Source organism: Homo sapiens, chromosome 5, assembly GCF_000001405.40.
Source record: "Homo sapiens chromosome 5, GRCh38.p14 Primary Assembly".
NCBI classification, from domain to species: domain Eukaryota; kingdom Metazoa; phylum Chordata; class Mammalia; order Primates; family Hominidae; genus Homo; species Homo sapiens.
In genome coordinates this window covers 94,920,165-94,940,570 of record NC_000005.10, presented here as the reverse complement: position 1 = coordinate 94,940,570, position 20,406 = coordinate 94,920,165, and the positions used below count along the sequence as shown (strand labels likewise).

General features: G+C 34.2%; 1 protein-coding gene across 56 annotated transcripts in view; it reads left to right on the top strand.

The window, feature by feature from the left end:
* The window catches only part of MCTP1 (multiple C2 and transmembrane domain containing 1), a 581,405-nt gene that overhangs the window by 344,524 nt on the left and 216,475 nt on the right, over window positions 1-20,406 (top strand). For 25 of the 56 annotated variants that reach the window (XM_047417714.1, NM_001393535.1, XM_047417712.1 and 22 more), the window contains 3 exons: window positions 376-487; window positions 8,580-8,618; window positions 16,550-16,609. In XM_047417714.1, the coding sequence (XP_047273670.1) occupies window positions 376-487; window positions 8,580-8,618; window positions 16,550-16,609 (211 nt within the window). The remainder of the gene's footprint in view (window positions 1-375; window positions 488-8,579; window positions 8,619-16,549; window positions 16,610-20,406) is intronic. The other 31 variants (XM_047417716.1, XM_047417713.1, NM_001393536.1 and 28 more) reach the window with 3 other exon arrangements.

The following is a 20,406-nucleotide window of genomic DNA, read 5'->3' as shown; positions in this document are numbered from 1 at the left end:
TATATATTTGCGTGTGTGTGTGTATGTGTATACACACACACACTTGTGTATATGTATGGCGCTACTCTCTGTGGGTTTAGAGAGCATAGAAAGGAGACTGATAGGCTTCTTAATAGGGTTGTAGTCTTGACCTTTTCAACCACTTTCTGGAACCTTCATGGGTTTAGAAAGCAGAAATTCATCTGGTGTATTCAGATCTACACGCAGTTTATTGGATAACTTAATACACTGATAATATTTTAATAACAAAAATTGTCCCAAGAAAGTAAAGGAAGACAAAATTACTTTTTATCTTAAAATAATAAAGCATTAATAAAAATATATTTGGCTTATTCATTTAATGACTGTTCAAAATCTAAATATTTTCTATCACAGGCCCACAGATGTGACCCTTACTCTGAAAGATCCTCATTATCCTGACCATGATCTTGGAATCATTTTGCTCTCAGTCATCCTTACCCCTAAAGAAGGAGAGTCCAGGGATGTGGTAAGTTCCCCCACAGCCTAGTAGGAGCTCTTTCTTGTTTGAAAGTTGTGAGCCTTTCTCTGGACCCAGAGATGATAATAAAGAGAAGCTGCCTATGAAAATATGCCCTGTTCTTTGTTTCTGTGAGTATCCTAGGTATTGCTCATTCATGCTTACTGTATCTTTTCAACTCTAATTTCCTATTACATCCTCCAGATCAGAACCTCTTGTTGTAAATAAGAAATAGATTTGAATTTTTATTTTATTTCTCAATTTCAGACATGCTATATTATAGGCAAATATTAGTATTCATTTGGGAAATACATTTATTAGTGAATTGAATACTTGGAATTCCACATTACGGTATCCAGACCCTGCTGTTTTGACTGTATTGTCAGGTGTACCATAACAGAGAAAATGAGGTGAAATTATAACAGAGTTTCTGCTTTCTGGTATTTGTTTAGTGAATGATAAGTGAATACTTTTCATCTTCTTGATGGGCTTTCATGTTGATATTACCCATTTTTCAGCACTAGCTGTCTGTACGTCCTTGCACACCATGCTGCTATGAGAAACTGACAAGGGACACAGAGGACCTAATTACTCCCCCACAGTTGAAGTGGCATTAAAAAATATCAGTCTTGACCCACATCAGTACGCTTGCTAGTGTACTTTCTGTCACAACTTGCCAGAGATTATTTATTGGACTCAATGTGCTTCCATGTGCCTGGGAACTACTCTAACTAGCTCTGATTATAACACATTTTAGTAGTAGACATAATTTTTTAGGCAAGTCCAAATACTCTATTTCAGCAATGTATGTATTGCTGTCCTAAAATAATGCATGATTAAAGTTGGTTATAGATTGTCTGCTGGAAAGGTATTGTTGGCGTTTTCCCCTAGACTGCAGGTAAAAATAGTGAATTACAACATCAAATTTGGAAATACTTTAAACTCATTGAAAAATTCACCCTTTCAAGAAGTATTTCTCTCCCTCCTTTTTAGAAATTTAATGATGAACACATACGTTTACATATAATATTTGCTAAATTGGGTTAAGTATCCATACTTCATTCACTGAGGAAGAAATTTTTCTTTTTAAATAAGAATTGCCAGATAATAATACCTAGTGTGAGAACTTAGCTTGGTAAAATTATGTATGTATGTGTGCACATGCACCCTTGTGCAGAGGGGTGAGTGAGAAACAATTTTTACAAAAAAGTATCTAGAAATGAAAGCCCGTCATCTTAGAAGTCACTACTTCAGAAGACATTATTTCACTCAGGGCAAGCCAGGAAGTATAACCTAGCTGGCTAATCCATACATAAGAATCAATTATAAATGTGCATTTTGTGTTTTATTTAAATGATTCTAGTATTCTCCGAGAACCTACTTTAAGCCAGTTCCTGTGCCAGACACTTAGGATACAATAGAACTTAGACCCAGTGGAGAACCCAGGAATCAATTAGTCACTGATGGAAACAACTGTTTTAAATGTTGTGAAAAAGAGGTACATATTGCTGAAAGAGCAAATATAGGAAAATTTTTACTAGCCAGGGGTTAAGGATTCTCTAAGGAAGCCAAATAAGACCTGAGATATGAAGTGTAAAATAGGCCTTAATAAAGCAAAAACAAGAAAGAGAGGAGGTGTTTAAAGCAGAGGAGACAACACACACAAAGGCCATGTGACAAGAGGAACCATGTTGCATTTCAAGAATTAAAAAACTACTGGAGTTTAGAGAAGGTGGAAGCAAAGACAGTGTGGGTGATCAGAGTGCATAACAACACTGGGGTGGAAGGACAATGTCCAGACTGTGTAGAACTCATTGACCATGTTAAGGTTTGGGTCTTTCCCCAAAACACTGTGGGGGAGCCATTGAAAGATCTGTAAATCAAAAGCAGTAGAATCATGTTTGCCTTTTGAAAATACCTCTGTGGCTGCATTGTAGAAAACATATTGAAGGGGTAAGAATGGATACCTGGAGACCAATTAGGAGGCCATGGCAAAAATCCAGGTGAAAGATGATGGAGGTTTGGATTAGAACTGTCAGAGGTAGAGATGGAGGGAAACTGGTAGGTTTACCTATAGGAGGTAAAAATCAACAAGACTTGGTGATAGAATATTCTTATGCTGGGGTTCTTTGTTATTTTAATGAAGGACAGCACTTCATAAATCAAGATACCTAAGTGCCTGAGATCCTGTGTATTCCCAGACCATCTAAACTTGCAATATTCCTGGAGATTGGGATGATATAGCAGCGATTGTGGTGATTTGGGTGATTTGATAATGTATAGTCAGCTGAATTTTTACATTAAAGGGATGTTTATTAAATACTCTAAAATCAAACTGAGGGTTTGAGGGAGCAAGTTACTATCAGGAGACCTTACGATGAAGCTGCTGAGTTGTTCTAAATTACACAGAAATATGACAGCACAGGCAAAATAGTTTCCAACATTATTTTTTCTTCAACAATCCTTGCAAAAATCCTTCAGTCTCCATGGTTGCTCAAACTTATTTTTAAAATGTAAAAATTATCTAAAAATATTACAGTGCCTGGGAGCTGATCATTAGTAAGTTATCAAACACAAATAAAGAAGAAAGTAGGTGGGTTACATGAAAGCAGTTATACATCAAAAATATGGTTTTCTTCATCTTCTTTTCCTCCTTTTCCTTTCTCTTCATCGTATCTCTTCAGCCACATTCACCCTTAACACAAAAAGTTCCTCCTGAAATCCTCATGCTATTTTCTTGGCTCAAATCCCTTTGACTACCCCAGATTTTTTGGAAGAAATCCTTCCAAAGGTATTTTTCATCTCAAAAAGTTTTTTTGCATTCATTACCTTACTTCATGCCCTCTTCTTTCAAAGTTCCAGAGAGCACTGCATTCACTTTGCTGCATTAAGAGGGAAATAGCGTCTTCTCTCCTCCTATCCTGTTATTGACTCTCTTGTGGCTTCTTTCTTCATCAGAGAAGCAAGTGGCTCAACCAGGGCTTAGAAAAGGCACAGTGATCAAGTCTGTTCAGAGCCAGCCTCTGGCTGGTGAACATCCTTGTACTTCCTGTCCTGATCTCACTCACCCCTAAGGAGGCAGAGAGAAGGGTAACCAGTGTGGCTATCTTGGCTCATCCTCGTGGGTACAATCAATAGCTGAGGCATGGGCTTGGTTGTAGAGAAACAAGTGGGGCCAGAGGAGAGGGGAGAAAGGAGGGAGGGGAGAAAGATTCCCCCATTGGAAATTCTGCTGGGATTCAGTATCCTAGCTATTCTGATGTCCTAGATTTGAATCTGGGTTTCTAAACATATGCTCTACATTATGAAAATGCCCAAAAACACATATAAATTGGCTTTTCTTCTGTGTTTGTCCTACATTGCAGTTCTATAACTATTTTATTAAGCTCTCTAGAACTGGTTCTTATATTTACCAACACTGGTTATTAGGTTTTGAAACTCAAAATAAGAACCATTTGTAGGCATCTGTATAAAACAAAATACTTATTGATCATCTACTAAGCATTATACCAGGCTTTATAACTTCCTCATTCTTCTTCTAAGTGTTCAGTGACTTGTGGCTATTTCTCTAATTAAATTGAAACTCCTGGTGAGAAACTTTAAGGCTCTCCAACAAGCAATGTATGTTCCCTCACTGTAACTTCTGTCCCAGCCATACAAACTCCTTCTCAGTTCACCTTCTCTCAAGTCCAGGCTTTCTTCAGTGTTACTTGTGTACCTAAAATATGCCTATAGTTCACCTCACCTCCATCCTACGTCCTATCACTGATACAAGGGGAAATATATATATATAATACATAAAGTCTTCCTTATGATGACTTCAAAAGACCAAGGGAGGGTGTATGGTTTTTTTTCTTACCTCAATATTCAAATCCCTGAGGTTGTCACAAACAATATCAAATCATGATTAAATAATGATTTAATTTTCTTTTGTAAGTTCTTAAAATTAGTATATTAATGATAATCTGCTTGAAATCAAGCCTTATTGCTCTTCCCATGGAATTCGAATGATGACAATAAATTATAAACCCATCACTGTATTTTCTTCATTCTGTAACATGTCAAGTATCAGCTTAATAAATTCTCTGGGCTACATTTGAAGTTTCTTGGTTAAAAATCAGAGATCCAATGTATCTTAAAGTTAAATTTTTAGATATCTAAAAAACATAGCATACTGCATCTGTAAAAATGGCATGCTGAACTTTCACAAATTATTCAGAAACAAATTTTATTTAGAGAAATTTAAGCTAAAAATGCAGCAAACCAGAAATCAGTTACTGAATGCTTCACAATCCCCAGAAAATGAGAATTATGTAAGAAAGGAATAAAGGCAAATTTTACATTGACCCTCACAGAGCAAAATTACAGGAGTTCTGTTCTCTTTGATTACTAACTCAGAAATAATTTATTTCAAGCTTTTAGCACTGAAGATGTTAGTTCAAAAACCACATGTTTATTCTTATGCCTGTGTTGATAAAACTTTGCTAAATATTTTATATGTATTAAAAATGGAGAATGAAAGAGATGTGTTTCAAGAGCCTTTTACAGATAAATCCTAACAATCAAATAGGAAATAGAACATTAATGTGAATAAAATGCTCTGGCAAGGTAGGAAGAAATGAATAACTGGAAGTAGAGAGTCCTTAGCATTACAAAGTGGTAAGATTTCTAAAACAGTCATCTTGTGAGTTTTTTATGCACTGTTAATAGTAACAATACGTTCCATGAATTATGCAGTTGGGATGATTTCTCCTTGTGTGGATTGCCAGTTCTAGAAATCAGTAAAAGTGAAGAATGAGTTGAAAAACCTATCAGCCTACTGAATCTACTAAAGCCTCTAAAATATTCAATGTCTAATTGCAGCAATTTGTATTTCATAGGTGCCATATCAAAATCTTCTCCATTGAGGTCATGATTGAGTCTTTAAAAAAAAATTTCCAGATGTGAAGATATATATATATACATTTTAAGTTTCCAGCATTGTGTGTACAAGAAACCAAAACCTCCATGGAGGGCATGCTGATGAGTTGCATGGCACAATTGTCATTTCTGTTTTGATTGCATGTCCTATTTTTGAACCTGTAAAAGTGTGTAGTGCATATATGTGTGTCCTATATATGGCAATTTGTCTGATAGTGTGTTTGAGTTCTTTCTGGCTCTTTTTCTAGCAGAGTTCAATCCACAGCTTTCTTCATTGGAGAATTTGTGAAATAAAAGTGAGTTAATTTGTGTTACACACTCTCTTAAATAACCTAGACCTACAAATTGCTTGCCTAAGGCTAAAAAATAGAAAATTCAAAGAAACATATGAATGATCTCAGTTGGCCTTTGATGAGTAAAAAAAAAAAAAAAAAACTTCTTTATCTTGGATTAGTTTTGATATTCTTCAGAATTATTACACAGCCAACATTTGAAGAAATATCTACCTACAAAAAGTTGATATATGTATGCTTTACAAGATGTATGTTACTATTGTATCTAATTCTGTGATTTCTTTATATGTACAGTAGTTATATAATCGCCTTAAAAAGTCACTTCAACAAAAGATAAAAATTAAAAAATGGATTGAGATCGTGGAGTCTTTTAAAAACAATTACTTCTGCAGCTCTATCACAAGCCATATTTTTATGCTACTTCATTCCTTTTACTGGCTTCAAGGAAGTTGAGCTGCTAATGAAGAATTTGAATTGTACTATAATAATATCAGGCAATAATCCTTTCAAAAATTAATTCATATGTTTCTCAGCTGAAGTTAAGATCATAGAGCAAAAAAATAAATCTTATTTTTCTATAATTTGCTTCATCTTCTATCTTTCACAATCCCCAATCTTTCTTCTCTAACATGTCTCACAGATAGCAAAGAAAACATTATTAATAGTATATATATTAAATTTTCTTTTTAATTTTTCTACTGTTTTCAGTTTTATTGAATCGACCTTAACTCAACTACCTAAAAGAAAAAGGGACTTGGAAGTGAGATACTTAAACCCATTGCTTTGGTAGTAGATTTGGCTCAAGAGGCAGAAATGTTATAAAATCTAGGGTCATTTTGAGAGTTACTGGATATAGTAATAGAACTTTAGATACTGAATTAGGAAAATAGTGAATGGGTTCTCATAACTGCTAAATCTTTCCTATTTATACTTAGGGTAATCACTGACTTTTTATTGTATCAGTTTCTCAATCTGAAAAATAAAACCATGCAGCCTGCTTATAAAGCTGATTTTGAGAGACAGGACAAATACTGGTCCTATGTTTTGTTTACTATAGAAGGTTAATTGTATGTGGTCCTTGTGAGTCAGGGGATGTGACTTTGTGGAATCCTTGTAATATTGGCTAGTGTTGCCATGAGATTTCACTCTTTCTAATGTTCTAAGGCCCTTTTACATAGCATAACATTTCTTATATAATGGAATTTTATATTATAAAATTCTTAGATGCTAGATAATGATGATAAGTGACCATGAATTGTAGATTGTACTTTTTATGTATCTTAATAGTTCTTGATTGATTTGACTCAAAATATCATCTCTAGGATATACCATTCTTTGTCCATTGAAACTCTGCTTGGTGAGAAAGTTGAGTGTTTATTATCCAACTCTTATGGGGCAGTTTTTGTAAATATGGTATACCACTTAAATATTTGGTTTCCAGTTGCCTTTTGGTGATGATGGAGGAAGTGATGGTGGTGGTGATGATGATGATGATACTGATGATAATAAATCATGTAACATCAAAAGTAAAGATTTAGTACATGTCCCCCTAGATGGCCACCTCTATAACCCAATGCTGGGATTTGTTGCTTCAAAATGAACTGGACATTTAGTACTTTGAAAACATAAAGTATTTCTATAATAGTATTTGATAACAGTGCTTTGCAGTTTCCTGACTTTAAAAAAAAAAGTAGGCGTGATGAGGAATCATTGTAACCTTAGGAAATCTATTATTCTTTTATGTTTTGGTCAACATTTAACAGTCTTTGTTAAGGAGGAACATATAATTATCTTTGAAAACATAAAAGAGGAACATATAATTATCTTTGAAAATGTTACGCTAGTCTTAGTTTTTACCCTAGAATGTCTAAATTCATTCTTGTGGTTTAGGTTAAAGGTTGCCCTCATCTTATATTAAAAATCTTTTCATTTTTGTGTTATTCTAATCCATGAATAGTTTCTGACATGGTTCTTTTTTATGGTGAATCCTCCTGAAAGAGATACAGTTCTTAAAGTACATTTCCCTGATACACAAATATGGCACAAGCACTTTAAGCTATATTCCTTGCCCTGAATATTTCCTATTCTCCACTTCATCTGCCTTAAACATAATAGTAAAGCAAAGAGAGGGGAAAGAGGTTAATCAGGAAGGTTAATACTTCAGTGTTCATTGAGAAATTTTTTAAAGTGAAGAGAGAAAACAAAAAAATTCGTTGGGCTTTTATGATTTAGTTTATTCAAGAGATTAGTGATCTTGGGGATGCATTACAAAGCTCTAGAACCTTAATTAAAACTTTTGGCCATACATATTTCTTAGTATGACACAAGCTAACTAATTTAAAGGATATGCTTTCACTAAACGTTTAGCAGGAAAATACACTAGTAGCCATCACAGTATGCAGCATTTGTTTTTAATTGAAAGCATTTGTAGGCCCTGATGTAGTTAAAGATTAACTGGAAACAGAGACAATTCTACGATGCCATCCAAGCAAAAGATTTTGAATGTGTTTGAAGAGAAAAATTATTATATACCTGTTCAAGTCATGTACAACCTCAACCTCCACCACCAAAAGGAGCCATTGGAAATTATGAGACTCAATGTGTTTTTTTTCAGTCAATAAAGGCATCCCGATACTGTTCCTTTTTTTTTTTTTTTTTTTTTTTTTACAAAGGAATAAATCAAATGAACTCTCACCAGAAAGACTGCTGGAATGTTAAAGTTGTTTCTCTAGTTGTGTGTGCGTGGCAAACAAGTTTTGTGTTGTATAATTGCTGCAGGAACTGTTCGCTGTTTCAAGGGCTAATAAATGTTTCCGCTAAAAAACAACTGGCTGCCCTATTCTGTTCTTGAGTGAAAAGATAATGAAAATGCTTTATTTTATTTACAGACAATGCTAATGAGGAAGAGTTGGAAAAGATCAAGTAAGGTAATTCTTAGCTTGTGATCTTTCAGCTTTTCTTGTTGAGCAGAACTATCATCTGCTTTCCCAGATCTCTCTCATCTCTTCAAAGTATGCTACCAGATTTCATACTATTCAATTGTTACTTTTCCCCATAAATTTAAGCCAACCATGTGATGTTTTTTAAATAGAAATCACACCGATCAATAGCTTCAAATCATCCTTTCACTATTCTCTGGTCACTTCTCAACATCATTCTCAGCATCTGGTCTCAACTATATATGCAACAGGGTCTAGAAAATTGCTCTGAGCCAGGAATAAAATGATGAGGCTAGGGGAGGGACAACTCCAGACAGAAGAAAGATTCGCACAATTTATTTTATTTTGGGGGGTCACAGAAAATTGAGTATGAGGCTTTCTAAACTCAGAAATTCCTGTATCATTACATCTTTATAGTATACAATAAGAACAATTTTTCCCCATTGTCTCTTCTCACTTTAAGAAATAAAGTGAGAGGAGTTTATGGTTCCTGTAACTTACTAAGCCCTGGCTCTTCTTCAACTTGTAAGATATGCAAAATATAAACTAAGTGTTTAATTTGTTCAGTGATGCTGCCACTGTTGGACACAGATCGATATCAAGATGAAACAATTTTTATATGAATATACCTTGAAATAAATCAAAACGATTTTACTTGTAAAAATCTTGTCTGCTCAAATTTCTACTTAGAGTCAGTATTCCTTTTTAATAATGACTAATTTTTTTAGACCCTGGAACATGACAGTCTTTTTCCTTCCATTCTGATTGAATCATGCTTTTACCTAAGCTTTTCTTTAATTTTGTCATTTTTATTACTGTGAATTAATATATATCAAAATGTTTTTATATTTATGGTAATGACTTAATCTGTTTGAACAAGTGTCTCTTACTGTACATTTTCTCCCTAATTCCTATGGCATTAATGGCATTAATGACCAAAGAATAATTTGGCTTACAAAAAAGTCAGGGCTCCCATTAAAAATCACCTTTATTATTTTAATAAAATGAAAAAGGCTTATTAAGGAAGGTTGCTGAATATTTCTAACTTAATGTTCACTGTGATTTTCACTAATCAAAATAAAGTTTCAAGATGTTTTGAAGAAATATTTGCACTGTTCATATTTGTATTACTTTTTCCTTTACAGTTATACTTTACAGTTATTGTTATATTAAAAGTGTATATATTTTTAAATTCATATAATTGGATATATTTGTGTAAAAAACATGACAACCCATCAATATGTAACAATATTCTTTCAGATATATTTAACATGTAATGCTAGAGCAGGATATTATATAATACTTAGTATTAATTAATGGGAATAATCCATTCTATTGTATAAAAGGAAGATTAGAAATGAAGATTCTGCCAGGCACAGTGGCTCATGCCTGTAACCCCAGCACTTTGGGAGGTCGAGGTGGGTGGATTACTTGAGGTCAGGAGTTCGAGACCAGCCTGGCCAACATGGTGAAACCCCATCTCTACTAAAAATACAAAAATTAGCCAGACGTAGTGGCACATGCCTGTAATCCCAGCTGCTAGGGAGGCTGAGGCAGGAGAATCGCTTAAACCCTGGAGGCAGAGGTTGCAGTGAGCAGAGATCATGCCATTTCACTCCAGTCTGGGCAACAGAGTGAGACTCTGTCTCAAAAAAAAAAAAAAAAAAAAAAAATTCTTCTTTAAAAATTATATTAAATGTATATTTAAATGTAAATATAATTTTAAACATAAATTAAGTAAAAATATATAACATATTTTTGTTCCATATACAGAAAATTTAAAGTGAATAATAAACATCTATCCTCTACTGTTTTATATCTAAAATTCTTGGAGTTTATATTTATTATTAGCAATCCATTTATATATTCGAACGGATGCATTTTTCAAGCTTCCAACTGAAGATACAGAATTCCTATGTCTAACAGCACTCATTTGAGTACTTGGCAGATTATATTTAGTACAGCGTTAACATAAGCTTTTGGGTTTTAGCCTAAGGGATTTTCAACTTTGAAAAATTTAATGGGGATATTGAATACTAAGTGAAGTAAAATCAGTTAACTCATTTGATTTTTCTTTTCTGTGAGAACATACTGAACACCTGCTAATTCATTCAGATTTTTTACTGTGCCCTAAAACATTTGCCATATTCATCTATATTAGTGTTACAAGAGCGCAATGTTAAATCCAAAATCGGGGGAAAGTTTGACATTTCAATTACTAGCTAGTCCACCTTCCTTCACACACTCTGCTACATTGAAACTGCTCCCTGAATCTTTTCCTCCGGTAAATTGTGCTTCCTGGGAAACTAAGGGGTAAGGGACTATACTGTGTAGCTTTATAGATTTTACTATGTTACTGTTTTATGAAAATGCATCATTTTCTAAATATTTCAATCTTCTTAAAAATTCTTGTCTGAGTACAGATTTTTCGTTTTTTATTTTTGGAAATAGGGTGTAATTTTATGTGCATTACATTTAAATATGGGTATTTCATATATGATATAACTATGTTCAAATTCAAAGGTAAATTTTTCATAAAAACACAGATCATTTTCTTCTTTGGAATCTTGATTTACAGAATGAGGTCTCCCGCATCTTCATGGCAGGGCTTTGGCATGCAGCCTGTCTTTGAGTGTCAATGGTGAATAGATAATCTAAGAAGTGTAAATTTTGTAGCAAAGACTTAAAGATAGCCAGTGTTGTTAGAAATTCTCTCCAGTATGGAGTTTTTCTTCCTTTACTTGGTTTCTTTCAGAAATAATGTACCTACAGAGGAAGAAAGGCTAAATCGACTCGGTTGTTGTTCTTTTAAATACGCCTGTCTCCCCGCTCTGCAATGTGAATCAGCTCATGGAATTTCCTGTTCCTTAAGCATCTACTCGTCATTTTCATCATCTTGACTTTCTATGATGAAATTTCTTTACCTGTTTTTGTAACCATACTTCTGCTAATAATAGGCTCTTTCAATGGAAATCTTATTACTTGTGGCACTCACATAATGTGGGGTTGTATTTAACTATTGAAATCAAAAGAAGAATCGCCAGCTTGAGGACAGGGAGATCCTAATTGCTGTTCAGGACTAACTTATTTTTTCTTTTTGGAGGTGGGGGGCGGGTAATTGTATTACCACTTAGTAATACATAGGAAAAAAATGCATCTAAACTTACCTCTGAAAAAGAAGAATGTATAAAATATGCATTATATTTGAATGGCATATAAACAAGTATATAGGTATAAATTCCATAATATTGCCTCTTCTAGGGACAGAACCATCCTTCAAAAGACTCATTCTGGTTTTCCACAAGCACACTTTCTATTACGCACATTTTGAATTCTGCCCCACACTCAGCTGTTATAGAATTATGTTATTTTAAGAAGAAAGGGGCTGATGTCTCCTTAAACTTGGGCAACAGAAGAATTATCCAGGTCAAAGAGTTACACTTATGTGACAAAATGTGTTTTAGCAGAGAAATGGTAGTGCTTTGGATTATTGCAATATTTTATTCTTTAGAAGAAGCTTATCACTGATAATTTATTCTAAGGTTAAATTATTCATCAAGAAAGTTTCATGAACTCAAAAGAGATGATTTATGTGTATTTTGTGAATACATTTTGTGGGGCCAAGCCAAAAATGGAAAAATGTAATGAAATAATTGGCTCTATCAAACAATAAGCAGTTATGGTTTTACATTACATCGTGTGTGTGTGTGTGTGTGTGTGTGTGTGTGTGTTTTAACCTAGAATAATGAATTTACCAATGGGTAAAGGTGAGATAATAATAAACTTATGTGCTTTCAATAAATTACTTCAATTATATAACAAATATTATCGTGATGATATAAAAACATACGCATTGCAATTCATATTTTTGACAATAACAGTTTAGAATAGTTTTTCTTTCAGAAAAGTTCATCCTTTGAATAATATAATACAGACTACTGTGATGGTGTCTGATTATCATATCTTCTATTACTTGACAGCTTATATCTTTTTTTAATAATACATCTTTTTATAAAGATTTTATTATAACCACTTAGCATAATTTTAATGAACTATAAAACACTTTATTCATTGGTTGAATGAAGCAATTTTTAATAAGACTTTTGGCAAGGAGATTGTTAATTTAAACTAGAGAACACTTTCAACTCTGTAAGTCTGCAGGGCGTAGTAGTTAAACCTGACACCTTGGATGACACATTAAAAATGCATCAGCAAAAACTCTAAGTGCTTTAATTTAACTAACGGTGGAGAAACAGATTAACACATCTTTAAGTATCTCACACAGTCAGCTAGACATGATGAAAAAAAGTCATTATTTAGCAACTATCAAGTTCTTTCCACAAAAAAATTATATCCTGATAATAAATAGGCAATTTTTTTTAAAGCGGCAAAAATGAAAACTCTTGGTCATAGACTTTCTCAACTATGAGTGACCAAAATGGCTTTTCTTAGGTGCCATATTTCTAGTCATTACGCATATGTCTTTGAAAAAAAGTACATGCTCGGTATTTTTGAAGTAAACATAAAATTATTTTAAAAGATTTTTACTTTGCCATTGTCTGTACTCCCAAATCTGTATTATTTGGAAATGTTATAAAATCAACCTCATAAGCAAGACTTCTGAGATTCCAAAATGCAACAATGAACAAATGGTAAATAGCAGTGAGTATTTCTATTATCAAAGAATATATTTTGACCCCACCTAACCAAAGTCCTGAAATTTGTAGTAAGTTTATTTAAAAGAGATATTATAATGTCAGTAGATATTTCATTAGCCCCACAAAATACATGGAGCCATAATTAAATTTTATGTTGAGATGGTTTTTCCTTGCTATTTTGACAATATTTCCCCAAAGGCATAAAATATAATTTTTATGTATTGTAATTCATAGCTACAGGGATTTGCTGTGACAATGGCATTACATTTATTTGAGTACTCTTGTTGGCTTTTCTAAATGTTGTGGGTTCTTCTGGAGCAGATCTGGATGAGTTGGTACAAAGTGAAGGGACAAAATGTAATCTCAGTGAGAGGATGGATTCCACAATGCTTGTGTTTCAGGTCTAGGATGTTTATTGTGTGGTTGCTGGGTGGCCTTCACATTGGTGGCATGTGTTATCAAGTGAGTCGGCCAGTTTCTTAGGATTCTTCCTGGACCGATTAAAAGGGGAGACCTAATATAACTGGGTTCCAGGATAGCAGAACTAAGGGCTGCTGTGCGATTACATGGCCTTTTAATTTAACAAGAAAGATAGATGGAAGGGTGAATGAATGGATGGATGGATAGACAGACAGTTAGTTATTAAATTGAGTGGAACTGGGAGGAGATTTGTTGGTCTTAAGGGACCCTAAATGTATACAGTGAAACGATTTATAATTTTGTCAGGATCCTGGCTCCAAAGCCCTGGTTAACGTAACAATTGATAAGCTTAGTCAATATCATGAGGCATCTTTATTGTTAGGATGGAAGCATCCAAGAGCCATTGTTTTGATGAACAGTGATTGCAATCTGACCAGGAAAGTTTATATACATGATTTGTTTGTGTATTTATTTATTTTTTAATCTCTTAAGTGGCCAAAATTGTATTGATAAAGGAAATTGAGTTCCTATGAAAGCATGCTTTTGTAATCAGGAATACTAGCTGACTTGACTCTTAGATTTGAATATCAGGCTTCACAATTTCAAATCAATTTGTGAAGGTTTTGAGTTTGTAATAGTATGTGTTATGTTTAAAGCTCTGTACACATTACGACTAATTTTAAAATATCACTTTTAATAAAAGCTTGTTGTCTAATTGTTATTCCATCTGATGAAAAAGTCTTTAAAGATTTCTATGATTTATGTAGAAGGCTGAAAAAAATCACATTATATGCATTTGTTAGAAAAAAATAAACTGTCCTTTAATTTTATTTCCCTGTGAAAAAAACATTTCTTTTCTAGATTTTTTACTCTAAAATCTGGTTAATATTTAGATTCATAATTAGATTTTTTTATCTTTGAGGAGAAATTTTCTTAGTGTGTATTAGATTTTTAGAGGCAAAAATAGAAACAAATAAGATATTCCCAATGCATCTTACTACTCTTATAAATTAGAAATCTTGGTAGAAACAGTTTAACAATTCATCTTTCAGAATAACTTTAATAATTTTGCATTATCAATTGATATTTCTGTTTTTTGTTCTGTTTCCCTTTGCTGGTACTTTATACTTTTAGCAATTTTAAAACGTCACTTTGGCCGGGCGCAGTGGCTCACGCCTGTAATCCCAGCACTTTGGCAGGCCTAGGCGGGCGGATCACGAGGTCAGGAGATTGAGACCATTCTGGCTAACACAGTGAAACCCCGTCTCTACTAAAAAATACAAATAATTAGCCGGGTGTGGTGGCGCGCACCTGTAGTCCCAGCTACTTGGGAGGCTGAGGCAGGAGAATGGCGTGAACCCGGGAGGTGGAGCTTGCAGTGAGCCGAGATTGCGCCACTGCACTCCAGCCTGGGCGACAGAGCAAGACTCTGTCTCAAAAAAAAAACCAGAAAAAAACAGTCACTTTGCCTCACTTAGCCTCTTGTCTTGATGAAGACTGAAGCGTAACTAAATATCTACAATTATGCTTTAAGATAAGTTTTCTCTGGAATTCATGAATAGTTTATGCTGTTTTTCTTGTTCTCCGTAATACAATCACCACTTCTGTTTAGGACTCATTCTGTAATGCCAGGTGCCTTATTATTGTGGTTGTGGTTGTTGTTATTGTTATTATCATTAGACTCTAGTGAAAGGAAGGCTTTGGCTGGTCTGTTGTAAATGGCACAGGGTCCACAAGAAAATTAAATTGTTTCCTCTGAAATAAAGGCCTAAATCTACATGAGAATAGGGGTTGTAAAATGAAATATAAATTTTAGCTGATGGATGACAGAAGTAATTAAACATGGCATGAAAAGCACAGCCTGGGGACTTCAATGCATCTAAATGTGGCTAATATTTTTATTTCTCAAATTTTAAAAGAGAAACCAAAGTCCTAAATCTTGATCATTAAAATTCCCACCTCGCCTCCAAAATCTTAATTGCTGACACAAAATCATAGAATAATCAAGGAAGTTGCAAAAGTGCTTCCTCTTTATCACAGTGTCAACTATTGATGCTTTCCCATGACTGTCATCAGTTTCCTGAAACTTTATCATAACTGACACCTAGAGACAGAATGCAAAGCTTTAACATTTAAGGGAAGACTGTAATTTAGATATTCTATTTAAAAATGGATAGCTATTTTTTTATTTCCCAAAGTTGAATTGGTTTCCTTTATAAAAGTCTGAGGATTAAGTAATAAACTATTCTACTTGAATCCATTGCATTGCTTTTAGTCCAATAGCCAACTCTCTCAGTATTCATTCCTTTTTAAAATTATTGTCAGCGAACTTCAGTTAACTAAGTCACTTACTATGTTTGTTAATTGTATTATAAAATTTGGAATTTTTTGTAGAAATGTAAACCAAATTTGACTAGGTGCATGTTTATAAATAAGACTTCTGCAATCATTCTTTAAAAATGCTCTGAAGTTCAATGGTTAACATAATTGTTTTGTTAAAAGGAATAAATATCTGCTTTACTTTAAAATATTAAAATATGCTTGAACAGTCTACTTTCTATAATAAACCATCAGACTCTAAAATATATTAATGAATACTTAAGAATGAAAAGGTAAGTGGACTCTTAAAAAATTACAGAAATAATCCTCTCTAAACTTTACTACCACAAAAATTTTAATTTACTCAAGGGAAGAAAACTTACAGTTTCTAAATATCCCAAGTATCTTTAGGATATATAATTTTCGATTTTTTATTTGCTTTGATTTTATTTGTTTGTATTTACAATATTAATTATTCTCAAAAACATCTCAAAATGTAGCTAAATATTTGTTTGTTTCTAGGAACTTTCAGAAAATGAAGTGGTTGGATCTTATTTCTCTGTGAAGTCTCTCTTTTGGAGGGTAATGTCTAAATCCTTTTTGTTAATATTCTTGATTTTTGGTTTTGGATAGCAATTTTGAAAGTTACATGGCAACTAAGAGTTTCATTTTTTAAGATAGGCTTCCAGATAGAGGTATTCATTTGCCTTCTTTATTATCTTCTAAGTCATCTAGGTAACTCACTTTTATTTCTACACTTGTAAAAATTAAGAACTTCATAAATTGAACATATTTCTTTGAAGTCATTTTATGAAACCAAGTTTATTCCAAATTCTGAGAAGCTAGAGTCCCAGGGACTCTCCAGGAATATAACGGTGCCATCTGGAAGGTCCATGAAGGCTCTTTCTTTCCTCTCTTGTAAAATGAGATTAGAATTTTCTGCTCCATTTCTGCTTGAGAAAAATATTTACTTCTGTTACAGTGATCTATACTATAACTCTGTCCTAGATATATACTGATCAGTGCTCTTTCTTTGAAAAGAAATCCTATAATTTAGAAAACAGCAACTCTTTTGATTTAAATAAAGACAAAATGATGATTCACAGATAATTTGTTTTAAATGTCATTGCAATTTAACTTACTCTTTGATGATTAAAGCATAATGACCATCCATTTTTTTCTCTGCTCTAATTCTGCATTATGCACAGCACAATTTATTACTAATGCACTTACTGCTTTACCTTTAAGAATGTTCCTCTTTCTTTGAAAATTCACACTTGGTATATGCTTAATGTAACAATAGATATTACAATGAAAATGCTACACTCTTAGGGCTTGTCCATTTTCCTTTCTTAACTCGCAAACTTTTCATTATTGAAAACTACCTTTTTTCTTTAGAATTTTAATATTTGTTGTAGTGTCTCTTAAGTAGAAAGGCAGGTACCAGATTAAGTCATGTATTGACCAGTGAGCAAGTATACGCCACATTTATTCATCCTTACCAGCTCGAATGCACATGCACTTTTTTTTTTTTTTTTTTTTTTTTGCAGCTTTTTATTGTTGTGAGCTTATTTTAGTAATTATACCCTTTTCATTTCTACTGTTTGGCTGCCTTCACTGAAGTTACTCTGTACTTTGCTGAAATAATAATTCCTCTTATATGTTCATGCATTGTCCAGGAACACACAGGATGAGTGCTTTTAAATTGTTCCATGACTTTAAATGGATAATGGCTTTATCCAAAAATTATTTCACTGGCCGGGCCTGGTGGCTCACGCCTGTAATCCCAGCACTTTGGGAGGCTGAGGCGGGCAGATCACCTGAGGTCAGGAGTTGGAGACCAGCCTGACTAACATGGCAAAGCCCCGTCTCTACTAAATACAAAAAATTAGCCAGGCATGGTGGCGCATGCATGTAATCCCAGCTACTCAGGAGGCTGAGGCAGGAGAATTGCTTGAACCCAGGAGGAGGAGGTTGTAGTGGGCTGCGATTGCGCCATTGCACACCAGCCTGGGCAAAAAGAGCAAAACTCCATTTCAAAAAAAAAAGGGGGGGAATATACATGGCACACTTCTTTGAGAGTAGAATTTGGGGGGTGTTCTGGGTTAAGTTTGTTCTATGTGCAGCAAATGTGCACACTGGTCATTGTGAATGAAGATTTGTCACCAGGGCGAACTTCATAATTAATACTTTTTCAAGTGTTTCCCTTTCAAGTGGCTCTCTCAAGATCTTCTTTGCTACTTCCAAGTTTTCCTCTTATCAGTACTTTCCATTTGGTTGTGTTCATCCCCAAATATTCTTTAATAACCTTTCTCAATCTCTTGAACTCTTTGATCCTAGAATAACAAATGTGCAAGTTTAAAAATAAACAAACTTTCTTGTATCCACGGTGTGATGGTAATGTCTTCTCTGGGCCTATGACAATGAAGAGTTGACAAATGAATTGAGTCATATAGGCATAACCTTTAGGGGTCATCTGTTTTACCAATGAGGAAAGTAAGGCCCATCACACTGATGTCATTGCCTTGAGGTACCCAGATGGCATGATCAGAGGCAATATTTCTCTCTCTCTGAATGCCATACAAATAAATGTTTTGAAGAACTTACAGCAGTAGAGTCCCTCTTTGAGTTTATGATGAATAAAAATACCTTGTATAAATAAAGCTGTTCCTTAGCCTGTTATTTTTAATTGACACCCTTTCAAATTCTTCTTGCATTATTTGACCCTTTTCTTCAGCAGCTATGTTAGCCACCAATGGATGGATGTGTTTAAGAGCCATGAGATTGCTGTGTCTGATGTGCCATTTACAAAATCAGAAAATCAGTGACCAAGTCTACTTTGGTTGAGTATTATCTTCCATAGTCACATTCAAAGGTCACTCTGGTAACTAACTGACCTCACTGCTCTTTACCCAAGCAATATTGTTATTCTGATGAGCTTTTAGAGGAGATGTATATGAAAGGAGGTTACCCAGGGACATTTTCAGATATGCAAAATGTCTAAGTAGATAAAATCTTTCATGAAGAGTATACATGTGCTTTGTGGGTTAAGCAGGATGTGAATTGAAATAAATTCCTATCAAGATTTATACAGATCAATACATGTGTCCAAGAGATAGCAACTGATTTACACTGAATGAAACTACATCCTAGTAAAAACTTGCTCAGCTGGAACATCAGTGCTACTTGCTGTATCTTAATTTTCCTGGAAGAAAAGACTGTGTACAGGGATAGTCTAATTGTCTGAAAACATAACATTTGTTATTCATCAAAACACTATCTTAGGATAAAAAATATTAAGCCATGGATATGACAATTACCATGTTTCTCATGAAAACAATAAAAATTATGTGAATCAGATTAAGTAAAAATTGTATTAAAGACTAACTTCCCACTTAAAGGTGGGAACTTAGTGCAGTGTGTTCAAATATTTAGCATGCTTAAGTTTCTTTTTAGTTATCTCCACTGAGTGGACTTACAGACCCTGATAAAAGAGTTAATTGAGCAAACCACCTTACAAGAACATTGCAGTGAATCAAAGAGAAATTTAAATATTTTTTAAGTGGAAAAGTCTGGAACGTGCCAAGATACTTCATATAAAAATCAAGAAAAGGGTCACAATGGGCAAAGGAGAGTACATAGAAAAATACAAAGTAATTTAGAAGTTATATCAGAGTACCGCCTTCCGGTCAGGTCAAGCAAAAGTGTGTCTGAAGGAAGATTGAAGGTTAAGGAGAAGAGTTTTTGACTTTTTATTATTTATTTATTTATTTATTTATTTATTTATTTATTTATTTATTTTGAGACGGAATCTCCCTCTGTCGCCCGGGCTGGAGTGCAGTGGCGCGGTCTTGGCTCACTATAAGCTTCGCCTCCCGGGTTCACGCCATTCTCCTACCTCAGCCTCCCGAGTAGCTGGGACTACAAGCGCCCGCCACCAAGCCTGGCTGATTTTTTTGTATTGTTAGTAGAGACGGGGTTTCATGTGTTAGCCAGGATGGTCTCGATCTCCTGACCTCGTGATCTGCCCGCCTCGGCCTCCCAAAGTGCTGGGATTACAGGCGTGAGCCACCGCGCCCTGCCGAGTTGTTGGCTTTTTAAAACAAGAATGGAATCCTGTGCTGAAGCACTTACACGCTAAACAACTCAACCATAGGTAACATCCACCCAAGATGAGTTCAGGAATTATCTCCATTTTTAAGTATGATGTTATTTATACTCAAAAATAGGTGTAACTTTTAATTAACAGTCTCAAAAAAAAAAAAAAAAAACAGGTCTCTGTAAGGCAGGCCCAAGACTATTGTTCCTTTCCCATATTATTGCTAGAAATTTGTAGATTATTTCAGCAAGCCAAAACGATTACAATATATGTGATGATT